The following is a 19,229-nucleotide window of genomic DNA, read 5'->3' as shown; positions in this document are numbered from 1 at the left end:
GTCAGTACTACACTGTCTTGATTACTGTAGCTTTATATTATGTCTTAGAGTCAGGTAGTATGAGTCGTTTACCTTTGTTCTTCTCCTTCAATATTTTGTTGGCTATTCTGGGTCTTTTATCTCTCCCTATACACTTTAGAACCAATTTATTGATATCTATGAAATAACTTGTTGGGATTTTGAATAAGATTGCCTTGAATCTATAGATCAAGTTGGGAAGAACTGACATCTTGACAAAATTGAGCCTCCCTAACATGGAGTATCTCTCAATTTATTTACTTCTTTGATTTCTCTCATCAGAGATTTGTAGCTTTTTTGTTTTGTTTTGTTTTTTTGGTGTAGATCTTGTATGTATTTTATTAGGTTTATACCTAAGGATTTCAATTTTGAGGTGTTAATGTAAATGGTATTGTGTTTTGAATTTCAAATTCCACTTGTTCATTGTTGGTATACAGCAATGAACATTTGTGTATTAACTTTGTATCCTGCAATGCCGCTATAATTGCTTATTAATTCCAGATTTTTTGTTGATTGTTTTGGATTTTTTACATAGAAAATCATGTCATCCATGAACAGACAGTTTTATTTCTTCCTTTTTTTCCTTCTCAATCTATATGGCTTTTATTTCTTTTTCTTGTCTTATTGCATTAGATAGGACTTGTAGTATGATGTTGAAAAGGAATGGTGAGAAGGGATGTTTTTGCTTTGTACCTAATCTTAGTGGGAAAGCTTTGAGTTTCTTACCGCTAAGTATTAACTATCGGGTGTTTTGTAGGTTTTCTTTATCAAGTTGAGGAAGTTCCCATCTATTCCTAGTTCATTGAAAGTTTTTTTTTTTTATAATGAATGGGTGTTGAATTTTGTCAGATGATTTTTCTGCATCTGTTTCTATGATCATGTGATCTTTCTTTTTTAGCAGTTGATATGTTACATTAATTAATTTTCACATGTTGAGCCACCTTTGCATATCTAGGATAAATCCCACTTGGTCATGGGGCATAATTATTTTTGTCCATTACTGGATTTGATTTGCTAATGTTGTGTTGAGGATTTTTGCACGAATATTCATGAGATATGTTGGTCAGTACTTTTTTTGTAATAGCTTTGTCTGGTTTTGGTAATAGGATAATGCTGCTCTCATAGGATGAGTTAATAATAATTCCCTCTACTTCTATTTTCTGAAAGATATTGTAGAGAATTGAAATAATTTCTTTTTAAAATGTTTGGTATAATTCAACATTGAACCTACCTGGGCTAGTGCTTTCTGTTTTGACAGGTTATTAATTATCAATTCAATTTCCTTAATAGATATAGACCTTTTCAGATTGTCTGTTCCTTCTTGTGTGAATTTTGGCAGATTGTGTTTTTCCAGGAATTGATCCATTTCATTTAGGTTATCAATTTGTGGGCATAGAGTTATTCATGGTATTCCTTTATTATCCTTTTAATGTCCATGATATCTGTAGTGATATCCACTCTTTCATTTCTGATATTAGTAATTTGTACCCTTTCTCTTTTATTCACAGTTGGCCAGCGCAGAAGCTTATTGAATTTATTTACCTTTTCAGAGTTTCCCTTTAAGCACTACTTTTGCCTCATCCTACAAATTTTGGTAAGTTGTGTTTTCATTTTCATTTAGTTCAAAGTGTTTAAAAGTTTGTCTTGAGATGTTTTCTTTGACCCATGTGTTATTTAGAAGTATGTTGTGTAATCTGTAAGCTTTTGGGATTTTTCAGCTTTCTGTTATTGTTTTCTAGTTCAATTCCATTGTGGTCTGAGAGTGGACATTGTATGATTTCTATTCTTTTATATTTTTTAAGGTGTATTTTATGGTCCAGTATGTGGTCTGTCCTGGTGAATATTTCATATAAGCTTGAGAAGAAAGTGTATTCTGCTGTTGTTGGATGAAGTAGGCTATAGATGTCCATTATGTCCAGTTGATTAATTGTGTTGTTGAGTTCAACTATGAGGGATGTTGGGGTATTGAAATCTGTAACTATGATAATGGATTCATCTATGTCTTTTTGCAGTCTATTAGTTTCTTTCTCATGTATTTTGATGTTCTGTTATTAGGTGAATACATATTAAGGATTGTTATGTCTTCTTGGAGACTTGATCCTTTTATCATCACGTAACAACTCGTTTTATCCCTGATAACTTTCCTTGGTCTTAAGTCTACTCTGTTTGAGATAGCTACTGCTACTTTCCTTTGATTGGTGCAAGCATAACATGTTTCTGCAAACACTTACCTTTCTACGTGGCCTTATATTTAAAGTGGATTCCTTGTAGACAGCATATAGTTGAGTCTTGTTTCCTGATCCACTAGGAGAACCTCTGTTTTTCAATTGGTATATTTAGGTCATTGATGTTCAAAGTGATTGTTGATATAGTTACATCAATACCTATCATATTTATTACTATTTTTTATTTGTTGTCCTTGTTGTTTTTTGCTGTTTTTGTCTTCCATTCTTTTTCTGCCTTTCGTGGTTTTCACTGAGCATTTTATGTGATTCTATTTTCTCTCCTTTATTAGCATATTAGTTATACTTCCTTTTAAACTTTTTTTTAGCAGTTGCTCTAGATTTTGCAATGTACATTTACAACTAATCCAAGTCCACTTTCAAATAACACTGTACCACTTCATGGATAGTGTGAGAACCTTATAATAATTCTAATTCTTCCATCTCATCCCTTGTATTATTGCTGGAATTCATTTCACTTATACATAAGCATACATGCATGTATAAACATATAGATAGATATAGATATGTGCATAATTGAATAAATTATTGCTGTTATTATTTTGAACACACTGTTATCTGTTAGATCAATCAAGAAAGAGAAAAATAACAGACTTTGTTTTACCTTCACTATTCCTTTTCTGATTCTCCTCCTTTTTTATGAAGATCTGAGTTTCTGACCTTTATCATTTTCCTTTTTTCTTAAAGAATTTCTTTTAGCATTTCTTGCAAGGCACTTCTACTGGTAACAAATTCCATCCATTTTTGTTTGTCTGAGAAAAGGTTTATTTCTCCTTTACTTTTGAAGTCTAATTTCACAGGGCACAGGATCTAGGTGGTTTTTTTTCTCTCTCTCAATACTTTAAATGTTTCACTCCACTCTTTTATTGCTTATGTGGTTTCTGAGGAGAAGGTGGATGTAATTCTTATCTTTGCTCCTTTATAGATAAGGTGTTTTTTCCCTTTGGCTTCTTTTGGAATTTTTTCTTTGTTTTTCTGTAGTTTAAAAATCATATGCCTAGGTGTAGGGGTTTTTCTTTTTGGCATTATCCCACTCATTATTCTCTGAACTTCCTGGATTTATAGTTTTATGTTTGCCATTAATTTGAGGGAAATTCTGTTATTATTATTTCAAATATTTCTTCTGCTCTTTCTTCTCCTTCTTGTATTCCCATTATGTGTATGTTACAATTTTCATAGTTGTCTCTAAGTCTTGACTGTTCTGTTTTGTTTCTTTCAGTCTTTTTTTCTCTTTGCTTTTCAGTTTTGGTGGTTTCTATTGAGATGTCTTCAAGTTCAGAGATTCTTTCTTCAGTCAAGTCCAGTCTGCCAAAAAGCCCATCAAAAGCATCCTTCATTTCTGTTATGTTTTTGATCTTTAGCATCTCATTTTATGTTTCTTTCTTAGAATTTTTTATCTCTCTGCTTACATTGCCAGTTTATTTTTGCATGTTGCCAACTTTATTCATTAGAGCCCTTAGCACCCTAATCCTTGTTGTTTTAAATTCCTGGCCTAACAATTCCAGCATCCCTGCCATATCTGAGTCTGGCTCTGATGGCTTGCTCTGTTTCTTTAAACTGTAGTTTTTGCCTTTTACTATGTCTTATAATTTTTTCTTGATAGCTGGACATGATATATTGGTAAAAGGAGCTGTTTAAAATAGGACTTTAGTGATGTGGTAAGGTGTGTTAAAAGAAGAAATGTAGACAAATTAAATTTAGCAGAGTTTAATTGAGCAAAGAATGATTTGCAAAATCAGGCAGTCTCCCGAGCCCGAATAGGCTCAGAGACACTCCAGCAACACTCCAGCCCTGCTGTGTGGTGGAAGAAAAAGGAAAGTGTTGTACAGAAAATGGAAGTGAGGTGCAGAAACAGCCCAATTGACTACGGCTCCGTGTTTACCTTATTTGAACAGGGTTTGAATAGTTGGCTGCCTGTGATTGGCCAAAATTCTGTGATTGACACAAGAGTAAGCTACAGTCTGTTTACACATCCAGTTAGGTTACACTTCACTATTTGCAGAGAAACCTTTAGGTTGAACTTAAAATGTGTAAGGAGGCAGCCTTAGGCTAAACTTAACAGGTGCGTGTGGGGGGAAATTGTTAGGATGGAGTGTTAAATTCTGGCTTCTTCCACACTGGAATGGAAGCCAAAGTTCTAATAATCTGCAATTAGTTTTCAGGGGGAGGCTGTAGAAGGGATCTGTGGGCAGACCTGGATGCGGGAGTCATTGGTTAAGGTGGTGGGATGGGGCCCAAAGAAGAACTGACTGGTGAAGATCAGGAAAAAATGCCTTTTAGCTCGAGGGGGACCTGCTAGAATTTGGAAGATGCGCAGATGAGGCTCAAATTTTACTTCCTCCACACCCCACCCAGATGCTCCTTTGGTGTAGGTAAGGTGAAGCAGAGGGAACAAAAGAAATCAAAGATACCATTTCCACATTTGAATAAAAAGTGGGGAAAAGAAGAAATGGATTTAGAGTCAGACATACCCAGGTTTAAATACGGATCTACTCTTGTGATCATGGCAAGCCCACTCCCTGAGCTTCAGGGTCCTCATTTGTAAAAATTGTAAAGATGACTAAGTGTGATGATTTCCCAGAGTAGCACAAAGTAGGTGTTTCAGCTGGAGGTGGGAGCCAGGGGCCCCATAGTTTGCTTTCTTATTATGTCTCCTTGGCTCCCTTCAGTCCACTGTCATGGCCCCAGAGGCAGGAGAGCAGGAGAGAGTGGAAGGTGTGATTCAGCAGGCTGCGACTCATTAGGGCTGTGAAACTTGTTTGAGGCCTCCTGTCCAGTAAATGCTGAATTTAGAACATGGTTCCGAGTCTAGTGCTCTGTTTATCTCAGACTGTGCATGAGGGAGAGGAAGGGAGAAGTTGCAGGGCGTTGTGCAGGATGTGCCTCTCTGCATCTCTTGGAGGAACCAGCAAGGCTGGTAGGAGTGGCTTCATTACCTGTGAGTGAGTGAGTAAGGATGTCTCACCCACGACATTTCCATATTCAACCCATCACGGCCACATACACTGGCCACACATGCCGACTGTGAACTCACATATGCCGGCTGTGAACTCACATGTGCATGGCTTTGTAGGATCCCATCTAAACTCACAGCATAATTGCATTTTCCCTTTTAGTTTTGCTTACTTTTGGTACTTGGTTTAAAATATATCACATATACAGAAGATAACGTAGCAGTTGTACCCTACCCAATACTCAGATTTAACTCGTATCAACACTTTAAGATATATATATGTTCTTTTAAAAAAGTTAATTAATTCTTAACTGACAAATGATTAATTGTCTATATTTATGGTGTACAATGTGATGTTTTGATATGTGTATACATTGTGGGAAAATTAAGCTAGTTAACATATCAATCACCACATTCATTTTTTTTGAGAATATTTAAAATAGACTCTCAGCAATTTTCAAGTATGTAATAGATTATTAACTACAGTCATCATGCTGTACAATAAATCTCCAGAACTTGTTTCTCCTAACTGAAACTTTGTACACTTTAACTAACATTTCCCCTTTCCACACCCCTTTACGCCTCCCAAGCCCCTGGTTACTACCATTCTACTCTCTGCTGGTATGAGTTTGATTTTTTTAGATTCCACATATAAGTGAGATCACGCAGAATTTGTCTTTCTGTGCCTGACTTATATCACTAAACATAATGTCCTCCAAGTTCATCCATGTTCTCATAAATGAAAGAATTTCTTCCTTTTTAAAAGCTGACTAGCATCTCATAATGTGAACATACCACATTTCCCTTACTTGTTTATCTGTATATGAACACTTATGTTGATTTCATATCTCAGCTATTGAGTATAATCATGCAATGAACATGAAGATGCAGATATCTCTTTCACATACTGATTTAATTTTCTTTGGATATATACCCAGGAGTGGGATTGCTAGATTACATGGTAGTTCTATATTTAATTTTTTGAGGAGCTTTCATGCTGTTTCCCATAATGGCTGTAGCAATTTACATTCCCACCAGCAGTGTACAAGAGTTCTCCTTTTCCACATTCTTACAAATATTTTATTATCTATCTATCTATCTATCTATCTATCTATCTATCTATCATCTATCTATCTATCTATCTATCTATCATCTATCTATATCTATTTTTTTGAGATGGAGTTTCACTCTTGTTGCCCAGGCTGGAGTGCAATGGCATGATCTCAGCTCACTGCAACCTCCGCTTCCCGGGTTCAAGTGATTCTCCCACCTCAGCCTCCAGAGTAGCTGGGATTACAGGCACCCGCCACCATGCCCAGCTAATTTTTGTATTTTCAGTAGAGATGGGGTTTCACCATGATGGCCAGGTTGGTCTCAAACTCCTGACCTCAGGTGATCCACTCGCCTCAGCCTCCCAAAGTGCTGGGATTACAGGCGTGAGCCACCGTGCCTGGCCTCTTTATATTTTTTGATAAACATCTTCCTTACAGGTATGAAGTAATATCCTATTGTAGTTTTAATTTGCATTTTCCTGCGGTTAGTGACATTGAGCAACTTTACATATATCCATTGGCCTTCTGTATGTCTTCTTTTGAGAAATGTCTATTCAGGTCCTTTGCTCACTTTTTAATCAAGTTGTTTTCTTGCTGTTAAGTTGTTTGAGTTTTTTATGTATTTCGGATTAACCCCATATCAGATGTACGGTTTGCAAGTATTTTCTCTCAGCCCATAATTTTTCTCTTTACTCTGTTGATTGCTTCCTTAGCTGTGCAGAACCTTTTTCCTTTGATGCAAACCCGTTTGCCTATTTTTGCTTTTGTTGCCTACATATTTGGGCAGGAGACAAATCTCTGCCAAGACCAATGTCAATACATTTTTTTTCCTGTTTCCTTCCAGTTGTTTTACAGTTTTAGGTCTTATATTTAAGTCTTTAATCCATTTTGAGTTGACTATTATATGTGGGGTGAGATAAGAGTCCAATTTCATTCTTCTGCAGGTGGATATCCAGTTTTCTCAGCACCATTTATTGAAGAGACCACCCTTTCCCCATTGTGTGTTCTTGCAAATGTGTCAAAGATCAGTTGACCACAAATTTGTAGATTTACTTTGGAGCTCTCTATTCTGCTCCATTGATTTATATGTTAGTATCATGTTGTTTTGATTACTACACCTTTGTAGTATATTTTGACATATAGTGTTATACTTCCAGCTTTGTTCCTTTTGCTCAAGATTGCTTTGGCTATTTAGTATTTTTTGTGCTTCCATATGAATTTTGGAATTGTTTTTTATGTTTCTATGAAAAATATCATCAGAATTTTGTTAGGGATTGCATCGAATTTGTAGATTGCTTTGGGTAATATGGACATTTTTGTGATATAAATTCTTCCAATCCGTAAACACAGAGTATTTTTTCAAGTGTTTATTTTTTATTCAGTTTCTTTCATTGATGTTTTATACTTTTCAGTGTACAGATCTTTCATCCATTTGGTTAAATGTATTCATCCTTAGTTTTTTTTGATGCTGTTGTAAATGAGAATGTTTTCTTGATTTCTTTTTTGGATAGTTTTTTTGCTTATAGAAACATTGCTGATTTTTTTATGTTAATTTTGTATCCTATGACTTTACTGAATTTGTTTATTAATTCTATCAGCTTTTTGGTGGAGCCTTTAGGATTTTCTGAATATAAGATAATACCATCTGCAAACAGAGATAAATTCACTTCCTGTCTTCTGATTTAGATGCCTTTTATTTCTTTTTCTTGCCTACTTGTTCTGGCTAAGATTTCCAGAACTGTGCTGAATATAAGCAGTAAGAGTGAGCATGCTTGTCTTGTTCCTGATCTTGGAGGAAAAGCTTTTCACTGATGGTTAAAAGCTTTAATGAACTTTTCACTGATGAGTATGATGTTAGCTGTGGGCTTGTGCTATATGGTCTTGATTGTGTTGAGGTGCATTTCTTCTACACCTAATTCATTGAGAGTTTTTATTATGAAATAATATTCAATTTTGTCAAATACTCTCTTCATCTCTTGAGATGAGCATAAAATGTTTTGTCCTTTATTCTGTTAGGCTTTTTTTTTTTAAAGAAATAAAATGTTACCTCTAAAGTATCCCCTCCTCCACCCACTCACTGTCATTCATCTCAGAGGTAACTATTGTCTTGAAGTTGGTGCTTAGTCTTCCCATGCATAGTTTAGTATTTTTATTATGTATGTTGGTGTCCAGATATAATGTAGCCTTGCATTGTGAGTTTTAAATTATTAAAATTGTATACTACTTTCATATACTGTCTTAGTCAGTTCAGGCTGATACAACAAACTACCATAGACTGAGTGGCCTATAAACAACAGAAATGTATTTCTCACATTTCTGGAGGCTGGAAGTCTGAGATCAAGGTGCTAGCATGGCCAGATTTTGCTGAGAGTCCTCTTCTGGTTTATAGACTGCTGACCTCTCATTTTGTGCTTACATGGTGGAAAGAGGGCAAGAGAGCTCTCTCGGGGTCCCTTTTGTAAGGATGCTAATCTCATTCATGTGGGTTCCACCCTCATGACCTAATAACCTCCCATAAGCTGCACCTCCGAATATCATAACTTTGGGGGTTAGGATTTCAACATTTAAATTTTGGGGGAACACAAATGTTCTGTACCTAACATGCATCCATCTGTAATTTTCTTTTTCAGACAGTATAGACACATTTTTGACAATACGAATAGCCTAGATCATTTAACAGCTGGATTGTATTCTCTATTATGAACTTAACATGGTTGATTTGTCTGTTCCTCTGTTGGTGGACAATTTAAACTGTTTCCACTTTTTGACAATACAAAAACAGGCCCTCAGGAGTGAAACTGATGCATCCAGCTATGTGGCAGATTCAACTTACTAGATATAGGCAAAGTACTGTTCAATTCATAACACCATAAGCGGTGATGGTAAGAGTTTCTGTTTCCTCATCGCCTTGCCAAGACTTGGAATCATTGGGTTTATTTTCCTAAATAATAATGTATAAATTCTGGCTCACTAGTTATTACTGCCATAATTAATCACACCCTCATTTGGTCCCATGGTACCATTTACATTGTATTACAAGCATCTGAGTTACATCAGATTCACACTGTGTTACAGACACCCCCACTGGGCCATTCATTCATTGATGATGGATTCCTGTCTATTCCTTTTTGTGTCCCCAGCACGCAGCACAGTGAATGGGGCTCAGTATGCACGTATTGAGTTAAACATAAATAATTAAGAGATCACAGAGTGGAGTAGTCAGGAAAGACAGTGAAGGGGGTGAAATTGAGATTGGCTAAAGAATGGGAACTTTCAAACACTCCTAAACGGAGTGTCCACCAGGACAACCACTTTGGAAAACTACTGGGCAGTATCAACTAAAGCTGTGCATGCCCTATGACCTTCTAATTCCACTCCCCATGGAAATGTGTGAATACGCACACCCAAAAGCACACCCTGGACTGTCCATAGTAGCACTCTTTGTGAAAGCCCCAATCTAGAAACAATCCAAATGTTCCTCCATGGTAGAACTGTTAAATAAAATTGTGATATATTCACACATTGGAAATGTGATAAGCATGAATGACCTTTAGCTGCAAGCAGCGATATGGAAGAATTTCACAATCCAATATTGAGCAAAATATGCCAGACCTCACAGAGCGGGTGCTGTACGATTCCATTTACCCGAAGGTCAAAATCAGACAAAACTAATCTGGTGTAAAATTCATGATACTGATTATTCTTGGTGAGGAGTGAGTGCCCGTTACTGGACGGGGGCATGGGAGTGCTGGTTTTGCCTTATTTATTTTGTGTTGTGGTAAAATTTACATACAAAGAAATTCAGTTTTTAAAAAGTGTACACTTCAGTGAGTTTTGACAATCAAACCACACAATATATAGAACATTTCTGTAGCCCCAGAGAGCTCCTTCATGAGCCTTATATTCTGTTTTTTCTTGGTGTTGGTATGGATGTTGGTGACATGGGTGTATTCACTTTGTGAAAATTCATTGAGCCGTGAACTTATGATACGTGTGTGCTTTTCTGAATGTATGTACTACTTCCATAAAATGTTCCAAAAGTATTTTGAAAAAGACTGGCCCAAAGGATGGCCAATTGGCTATAAGAGGGTCAAATGTGTGGCCGAGGGGATGGGAGGAATGCTGTGGGGAGGTTGACTGGAATGGTGCTGTGTAGACATAGTGAAGAGTGGAACAGAAAGTGAGTTTGATGTTAAGCTTCAGCTTTATACATTTGCTGCTGGTGAGTAGTGTGAACAAGCCTTTATCTTTCTGGCACTGGATCAGCTGCTTTTGTTCTTTCTCTCTCCCTCCAATATCCTGTAATAGCAGGAGGGAGCCCTCAAGAGGGATTCAAATGTGGTCTTTTTCCTGAAACACAGAGCAGGTGGCCTTGGGCTCCACTCTCTAGGATCCCCAGGTGAGGATCCTGACATGTTCTTGACAGGAGATTCTGTCCTCTGTAGCCACCAGCATGGGACACCTCGTTCTTTCTTGACCAGAGTCCCCATCCCTTGGCTCTGAGACTTCAAACCTTTAGGAATCCCTTCCTGGTCTCTGCTGGGTCCTGACAGCTCTAAGGGAGGATTTTTGAAGGTTCTTTGGGAAAAGTCAAGTCAGTGGTATGAGTCTCTCTTGTCTTCCCTTTGCAAAGACCTCCCTTTACTTATGTTGATAACACAGAGAGTGAGTGACTTTAGAGGCCCCTTAGAGAATTTTGTCCTGGAAGTCTTTGTTTTATTTTCTTTGCTTTTTTTTTTTTTTTTTTTTTTGTCCTTTCTCCTTCTCCATTTGCTGAGCTCTCCAAAGGTGAAAACAGACAAACAAACAAACAAAAAACACCACCAAAATCTGGTAGAGAGGGAAATAAAGAAGGGTATAACTAGACAAAGCAAAACCGCATGTCTAATGGTGTAAAAATTTAAAGTGGTGCTTGTTAAAATTTGCTAACATTCCCTTTTACTAAAGAACTAAAAGTGTACTTCATTTAGACTGTTCTCTTCCATGGCAAATAAACCTGATTTAGCTATGACCTTTGTGAAAAATAAACTAAACAACATAGAAAAAAAATTCCTTTTTCTTTTTTAAAAGTCAGGCTTGAAATTTTTATATCCTTTGAGTCATATTCTTGAAGCAATTGGCTGATTAATTCAAGAAATGTTACTTTCCCAATTCAAATATGACATTTTGAAAATCATCCATGAATTACATGCCTCAAGAATGAAAGGCTTTTCTGTGCCATTTAAAAGGTTTTTTTCATTTTGAGGGCAATCGTGAATATCTATAAGGGCACATTTATTACTCCCAGAACAGATAGAAAATTAGCAAAGTCATAAAATTCTTACCCAGCTTTGCTATTGCAGCTGTGTCTCAATCCAGTGCCCCACTCATTCCCCTGCCACTAAAATGGTTGAGGATGATGTTATTTTTGCCATTACAGGCAAGGCACTGGTCTTTTTAGCTTGGTTTTTTAAATCTCTACACAGAAATTAAAAAGAAAAAAGGTATGCATTTAAACTTTGTTCTTTTGGTGGGATTCAACCAAGAATTGCTAGTCTCATAAATTCGTTCCTTAAAAATCTTACCTTCTGATCCTGGAATATGTCCCTCTCCTTCTACTCTCATATGGTAAACCAATACTAAGCCTCAGAAAAACAACTGGCTGTAAACTTTCTGCCTTAATTTACACTACTGTATGCAGGACCTGTAGACATGGATGTATGTTTCTGTATATACCCACCCAGTAATTACTGAGGCAAGCCTTTAATTTGTCCGAAATTGTGCAGGCATAATGGGACGACCCACACATTTTTCCATTGGAAATTGTAAATGAATGACAAACAGAGAACTCCGCCCTAATCCCCGCCCCACAACACTTCCTGGGAAGCTTATTCATAACTCTTTGTGTGTCGGGATGGAATTGACACTCACAGGGGTTTTGATCACTATTGCTCACTTGATTTGAGCAGTCCCACTCCAAGTGTGGTCCTCAGAGTAGTACGGGTCTGTAGTCAGCAAGGAAATTAATTCTAAAATTATGGAAAAGTACTTAAAAATGTTAGAGGCATTTGGCAGATTAATTTTCTGTCTGTTGAATCTAATAATAAAAATTAAGGGTTTTTTTTTTTTTTTTTTTTAACAACTCAACGGTATTAAAATCTAGTAGAGTTCCTGTCTCTGGCCAGAATGAGATTGACTCTTCTTTGGTAGATTTATCACCCATAGCAAAACCATCTTCAGATGTGCACAATGAAATAAGTGCTATTCAAATAATACTATGTTATTATCAAATATTAAATATCAAATATTAACAATAATATTTGAATAGCACTTAATAAGTATTTAAGCGTGAAGTGATGTCTTGGTTTGGGGTCCCCTGGAAGCACACTCTGAGAGATGGCGCTGAGCAAGCTGCTTATTTGGTAGAAGATTCCAGCGAGTACTAGTAGGGAAGTGGGGAAGAGAGATGGGGAAGGCAAGGAAGCTAATAAAGTGTGTGTTTTCAAGTAGGTGACTGCTATAGGCAACTGGAACTCAATCCCACTGGGAGCTCGTGGACTGGTATAAAACACACTTCACAATGGCCCCACTCGAGGGGTGAGGGAGTTGGGGTATTCATTGACCAATGAGTGGAGTCTTATGGGTTTACTGATTCCCCCAAGATCACCAAACAGTTGACTGACAGGCACTCAGTCTGTTGACTCCCAGCACTTCCAGTCTTCTGTGCAAGCTCACTGGGCTCCACGATGATGGAAAAAGCCATCAGGCAAAGACATGTGGGAGCTGCTGCTTGAAAGTTGGGCTGGTTTGAACAGATATGGAAAGTGCTGAGGGGATGCTTGGGACAGCAAAAGCACTGGACAATGGGTAGTTTGGACAGGTGGACTTACCCCAATTTATAGACAAGGAAAATGGGGTCCAGCTTAGCACTATAGTACAATGTGGAAGACAGTGGGGGAGTGAGAAGGACCTCTCCCCATGACCGCCCACTTTGATTCCACCCAGAGCCTCTTCTGCTGCCTTTCTTTCCTGTCTTGTGGATTGGGTAGTTGGCAGAGACTGACTGGGTGCTCATGCAGCCATCTCTGCTTCCTGGACCCCTCATCTGGACTTCATTTCCCAGTCTCCCTTGCAGAAGGATGTGTCATGTAGCAGAGCTGAGGAGAGTGACTGGAAGCATTGGACAGTACTTCACTGCTGAACCTACAAAAAACTTTACAAGTTTTCTCCCTGCTTTCTACCTTTTGAACAGACTGGGATTGAGATGACCCCAGGGCATCCTAGAAAGTCATACCTTGATGGTGGCAGAGCCACAAGATGGAAGGAGTCTGGGTCCCTGGGTTGTCACTTAGAGGTGGGCCACTTGGCTAGAAACATACTCTTTAGAGTTTTTTTGGGTTAAGCCACTGTGATTTTGAGGATTATTTGTTACAGCAACCAGCATCACCTTAAATAATGTAACATCATACATGTGTGATCAAAAACTTGACTTTATATCACTTACCATAATCTCAGATTCTGCACTTATTTACTTATCCACTATCTCCCCTCCAAGAGGAGGGACTTTGATTTGTACACCGCTGTATCCCTGGTATCTGGCGTATGTATATGCTCAATAAATATTTGGCAAATGACTAAATGCCAATGTATTAACTTGTCTGACAACTCCCAGCAGGCAAGTGAGAGAGTCAGGATTGGAGTCCAGGCCCACTGAACCCTCAAACTCTTAAGCCCTCTGCACATTGCCTGACTATGCATGCCAGGTGCAGTGCTGGAACCTGGGCATGTAGGAAGGTTAGGTGCCTGTTATGTTGCCCCTGAGCTCTACCTAACAGGCAGCAGTTAGCACAGGGCTTATGTGTGGTGGGAAAAGCAGACCCATCTTTGTTTTCACCCATGGATCAGGCTATCTTTTAGAAATGTTGAGCTTTGTGACTTACCCAACCTGAGCAAGGGCTCAGCTATAGAACCACAAAATCCTTTTATGGACTATGAGATAACTGGGCAAAATACATAGAGATAAAGCCAGATCCTCTTTGAACAATCTAAGCAAAGGCAGTGAGTCACAGAAAAGCATGGATCCAGCAGACCTTGGGATGAGTTAGGAGGAGAGGAGAGCACAGGCGTTAGGTTTAAGAGCCTGGGCTTTGGTGATCAGACACTGCTGGCTTCAAGGAGCTCTGTCATTTACCAAGTGGTCTGACCTTGAACAAGTTAGCTAACCTTGTTGGGCTTCTTTTCCTTATCTATAGACTGGATGTAATAATGCCGGTCTCCTGTGGTAAAATGATTAACACAGAGACACAAAGTGTGGGCTCAGAAGATGGTGGCTTGTATAGTAGCTGTTCTTTAATCCCCGGCGTTAAGACAGAGAACTCTACCCTCTTGGCCACTAAGACATAAAGACTGAGGTGCTTGGGAGACTATAATCATGGCGGTTACATGAACTGGGTCCGAAGAGAAAGCTATAGGCTGCCCTGGCCTCTCCTTTACCCTTCCCATGTGCAGCCACTAGAGGGCCGTGGGCATCTCTGTTTACCACTGTTGTGTTCAGATGTGGCACCCAGGATGCCCACTGAATTACTAGAACTCTCTTTCCAGGGGAAGGCAAAAGAGCAGTGCACTCAAAGAGAAAAATTTGAGCAGCTACTGCGGGGTCATATTTACAAGGACTGCAACGAGACTGCAGACATTCCTTAGAATTCCACAGAATTTTCTGTGGAAGTGGCCTTGCTCATTCCTTACTCTGCTGCAGGCAAAGCTGGCCCTTGAGCAGATGATCTACTGCCCACTGAGTGAACTGCCTGGGGTTGCCCTGGCACCAGCTTGGGGCCCTGTGTTGAATGAGATAAGGGTCTCCTAGTCTTATTAGACAACCTAGGCATGAGGTCTTGATTTCCGAAGATCACTCATTGGCCCACTAAAGCATTGGGACTGAAAATTAGCTCATCCTAATAGAGGTGGATTATAGTTCAGCAAATTTCCAGAGGTTTGGAACCATCTGATGATGCATGGGAGACCAGGGTGTTCTCAGTAGGCAGAGTCCTGGAGCCCTCCCCTCCAATTTACCCCACCTTCCAACTCTCAGTTCATTAGGTCAGCAAGGTCTGATATTAAAAGGCAAATAGCTCATGGACAGCATGGCTCACATTAGTCATTTTCACCGTAGTAAGAAAGCTCTCTGTTCTCTTTGAGATTTCACTCTAAATCCTTAACAAAAATACCTTAGACATGGCTCCATAACTTGCCACTCTTGTTCCTCTGCTCATCACCTTAAACTCCCGGTTTTCAGAAAACACCAAGTACTTACCTATTTCTTTGCTTTTCTCCATACTATTTTCTTATTACAAATACACCCACTTCCCCTTGCTCTTTTATGCTTTATAAAATCCCACTCCTTCATTAGAACCAACAGATACTTCCCTGATTTCTGCCTCTATTTCTTCATAGTACTTTGTGCTTACACTTAACAAACACATCAGAGGGTTTTGTCCTATACATTTTTGTCTCTCCTGATCACCCAGTTGAGCTGTTCATGTGACTAATCTCCAGCCTCTGCTTGAATACCTGTCCTGACAGGATACTCACCACCTCAAAGGCAATGCATTCCATTGCCAGCCAATTCTCTTTGCAAAAAAAATTTCCTCATTATTATAAACCAAATCTATATGCCTGATACACGGACGCATTGATTCTCTTCCTACTAGTTCAGTTCATCTGTAGCAAAAAATTGCTTCAGATGTGAATAAGTCTTCTCATTCCGTGATTAGACACAGATCTTAAATATAAATATTCTGAGAATGGGCAATACCTTCTAAGGTGTAAATAATTCATTGTAAGGTGTAAATGTCTGGGCATGGTGTTTCATGCTTGTAATCCCAGTGCTTTGGGAGGCCAAGGCAGGCAGAACACTTGAGGCCAGGAGTTCAAGACCAGCCTGGCCAACATGGTGAAACCTTATCTCTCCTAAAAATACAAGAGTTAGCCAGGCGTGGTGGCACATGCCTGTAATCCCAGCTACTCGGGAGGCTGAGGCACGAGAATCGCTTGAACTCAGGAGGCGGAAGTTGTGGTGAGTCAAGATCACGTCACTGCACTCCAGCTTGGGGGACAGAGTGAGACTGTCTCAAAAAAAAAATGTGTAAATGACTGGTAAAAAGTTTTCCATAAGAATAGAATTGTGTCAGGATAACTTAAGGGTGGGGTTAGGAATGCCAAAGGTACCGGGAATATAAGGACTTCAAAAATGTGCTACAGTAGAGAGAATACTAGGCTAGGAAATGAAAGATGGGTCCAATGTCTTTATGTTTTCTGAGCTTTGATTTTCTCATCGGGAAAAGGAATACTTTTCATGATGAGTAGTTCTACTTATAATTGTAATTGCAGAATTTTCTGTGGAAGTGGCCCTGCTCATCTGGGCTGTCTTAAGCCTTTGCTCTGGTTTGGCTTCCTTAGGTCTGGGCGGGCAAAAAGTCACACATGTGTCAATGGGCCTCAGCCTCCTGGGGGTTGGGTAGACGATTTTGGTGCCAAGGATGCCATGACTTACACCACCCACAATCATGTCAATCAATGAATGAGCCTTTTATTCCCACCTGGGTTGAAATTTTCTTTCCCCTGCCTTGAAGTCTTGCTTCACACGGGCTATTTATGGCATTTGTATCATAAATGAAGGATGCAGGTAACACCTTTTATTATGATTTTATTATATACTCTCTTTTACTAGAATTTTGCAAAGTAAAATATTGAATAAGAACCAACTTTATTTTTCCTAAGTTCTACCCCATAGGACCAGGTCATATTAACAATTGCTTGATGCACAATAATCCGTGACTCAATAAATACTTTACAAAAATAATGCAGTTTTTTTTGTTTTCTTAAAACATAAAAAACTAAGATTCCCCAGATTGACCCTCCCCCCCTTTTATATTTATTTATTGGGGATATATTGGTAGATGAAAAAATTGTTAAAATAGTATTAAAATAGGTGAAATGCGGTCCATTATCTTTTTCCCATTTGTTTTGTTGTTTTCCTTTGGAAAAGTGCTACTTCTTGTTTTTACATCTGAACTTGGCTGCAGTCTTCTGAACCTGCTAGGACATGAGCAGAAATTCTACTGTTTTGGGGCCGTTTAGCAGAATGATAGCATTATGATAATATTGATCTTTTATTTTAAAGCCTATTTAAAACCAGTCCTCAGCTTTGTCCCTAAAATATCATATTCCCTACCCAGTCTGAAGAAGAGACTTTTGGAATCTGAGACTCCAGCAAGGTGCCTCATGACCAAATAACATTTGGTTTAAGGTGGGCGTTTACATGTTTTGATATATTTCCATTGCATTATTTTTAAAGAAATAAATTCCAAAATTCCCTTTCTCTTCCACTTCCCTAAGTCTCTTTCTTTCTGATCTCTCACAGACGTGATTAGTTTCACCACAACTCCAGAGAAAAGGTTACGCTTAATTAAGTCACATTTGTATTAAATAAGTTATATATAAAAACTGCTTATAACGTTTACAACCTCAGTCTCTTTCCCCCTTTGCCTCTCTTTGAAACTCTGGATCCGGGTGTGAATTGAGTCGCACCCACTGTGGCTTCCAGGTTCTTCTTCTGGCTTCCAAGTTGTCCCCATCCTTCTGCCCACATCGCTCCCCAGGGGCACTTTCAAGGAGCTCTGCAGATGGCGAGGGCGGCTTCACAAGGCAGTCCCCTGGGCGTGGCACACGCCCCTAGCGTAATGTATGAGAAATACTCATGTGGTATATACAAATATACACGACCGCAGCTATGAAGGTCTCGGCGCCAGTCGGCACGTCAGTGCAGCACGTGTGTGCTCCAGAACCAGAGGCAGCGTCCTCCACCTCATCCCAGTCTCTTTAATATTCCCTGGCCTCTTGGAACTGCTTGATGTAGTCCTCGTCCGAGGGGCTCTCTGTGCACTTCTGTCCGTTGTTGGGAGGCCGGGCCTCGTTATACCTGCTCCAGTCACCCTTGCAGATAATCCAGGGCAGGACGTCCACCTTGTAGTGGAGCTCCGCGGAGAACTCGGTGCTGATGAGGTTGGGCGTGCCCGCCCCCTTGCCCCTGGTGATGAGCTGCATGTTGTCGCCGTAGCAGCAGTGCTGTGCCGCCAGCGTGGTGCTCTCCAGGGACAGCATGGAGCGGATGCAGTACCGGGCAGTGGGCTTGTAGATCTCCAGCTTCTCCTTGGGCCCGCTGGCGTCCTTCCAGCGGAAGTCCTTGCGCTTGATGCGGTCGAAGATGTCGGCCGTGCTGTAGGCCACCTCAGTGGGGTAGGAGCAGGGGCAGCTGGGCAGGTCATTCATCACCTTGTGCATGTACTTCTTTAAGAACTCGCTTTTGCAGCTCATCCAGCGCTCACAGCTGTCTGTGTCTGGAAAAGGCCAAAGAGAAACCCTCTCACCGCGTGTACAACCGGCCCACAGGAGGTGCTTCAAGGAGCATGTGACACCAGGCTGCTCCTGAGGGCCCGCAGGAGGACACTAAAGTCAACAACTCCCTGAAGTCAACAACTCCTGTCCTAGAGCCAGACACCCCTGCAGCCCCCTGGCACCATCAGAAGTGGATGGCCGTTCTCACGTCCCTTGAACTTGGGAACTTCATTATTCACAAGACTTCCTCCAAATGCCCCACTTTATATTATGAAATTTTCAGACACACAGAAAAGTAGAGAATATTCTTATACAATGACTACCCATATTTCATCACCTGGATTTAACTATTATTATATTTGTTTTATCTTTTAAAAAATGTTGTGGAAATATATAATGTCACCCCTAAATTTTAGTAAGCATCTACAAAAAAGAGGATATTTTCCTAGATAACCGTGATCCGATTATCACTCCTAACAAACTTAAGAATTCAGAATTATTTGAATCTCCCCTCTAAATAAGTGATGAGGCCAGGCACGGTGGCATATGCCTGTAATCCCAGCACTTTGGGAGGCTGAGGCGGGCGGATCA

At 39.5% G+C, this 19,229-nt stretch overlaps 2 protein-coding genes across 5 annotated transcripts in view; one reads left to right on the top strand and one right to left on the bottom strand.

Annotated features, from left to right (window-relative positions):
* TASP1 (taspase 1) overlaps positions 1 to 19,229 on the top strand; it is a 534,161-nt gene that overhangs the window by 321,351 nt on the left and 193,581 nt on the right. For 2 of the 3 annotated variants that reach the window (XR_001754319.3, XR_007067463.1), the window contains exon 14: positions 1,527 to 1,612. Coding sequence is in view for 1 of the 3 variants with exons in the window: in XM_047440269.1 (XP_047296225.1) it covers positions 1,527 to 1,550 (24 nt within the window). In the remaining 2 variants the exon portion in view is untranslated. Of the gene's footprint in view, positions 1 to 1,526; positions 17,104 to 19,229 lie in introns of those variants that run through there. The other variant, XM_047440269.1, reaches the window with a different exon arrangement.
* Positions 1 to 19,229, bottom strand: part of ISM1 (isthmin 1) — a 105,450-nt gene that overhangs the window by 9,142 nt on the left and 77,079 nt on the right. Inside the window, exon 6 of one of the 2 annotated variants that reach the window (NM_080826.2) lies at positions 16,931 to 18,640. The exons of the other annotated variant lie outside the window; for it this stretch is intronic. Within the exon in view, the coding sequence (NP_543016.1) occupies positions 18,123 to 18,640 (518 nt within the window). The 3' untranslated portion in view covers positions 16,931 to 18,122. Of the gene's footprint in view, positions 1 to 16,930; positions 18,641 to 19,229 lie in introns of those variants that run through there. 2 annotated transcript variants of the gene reach the window in all.

This window comes from Homo sapiens, chromosome 20 (assembly GCF_000001405.40).
Source record: "Homo sapiens chromosome 20, GRCh38.p14 Primary Assembly".
Classification (NCBI taxonomy): domain Eukaryota; kingdom Metazoa; phylum Chordata; class Mammalia; order Primates; family Hominidae; genus Homo; species Homo sapiens.
This window is presented reverse-complemented; position numbering and strand designations above follow the sequence as displayed.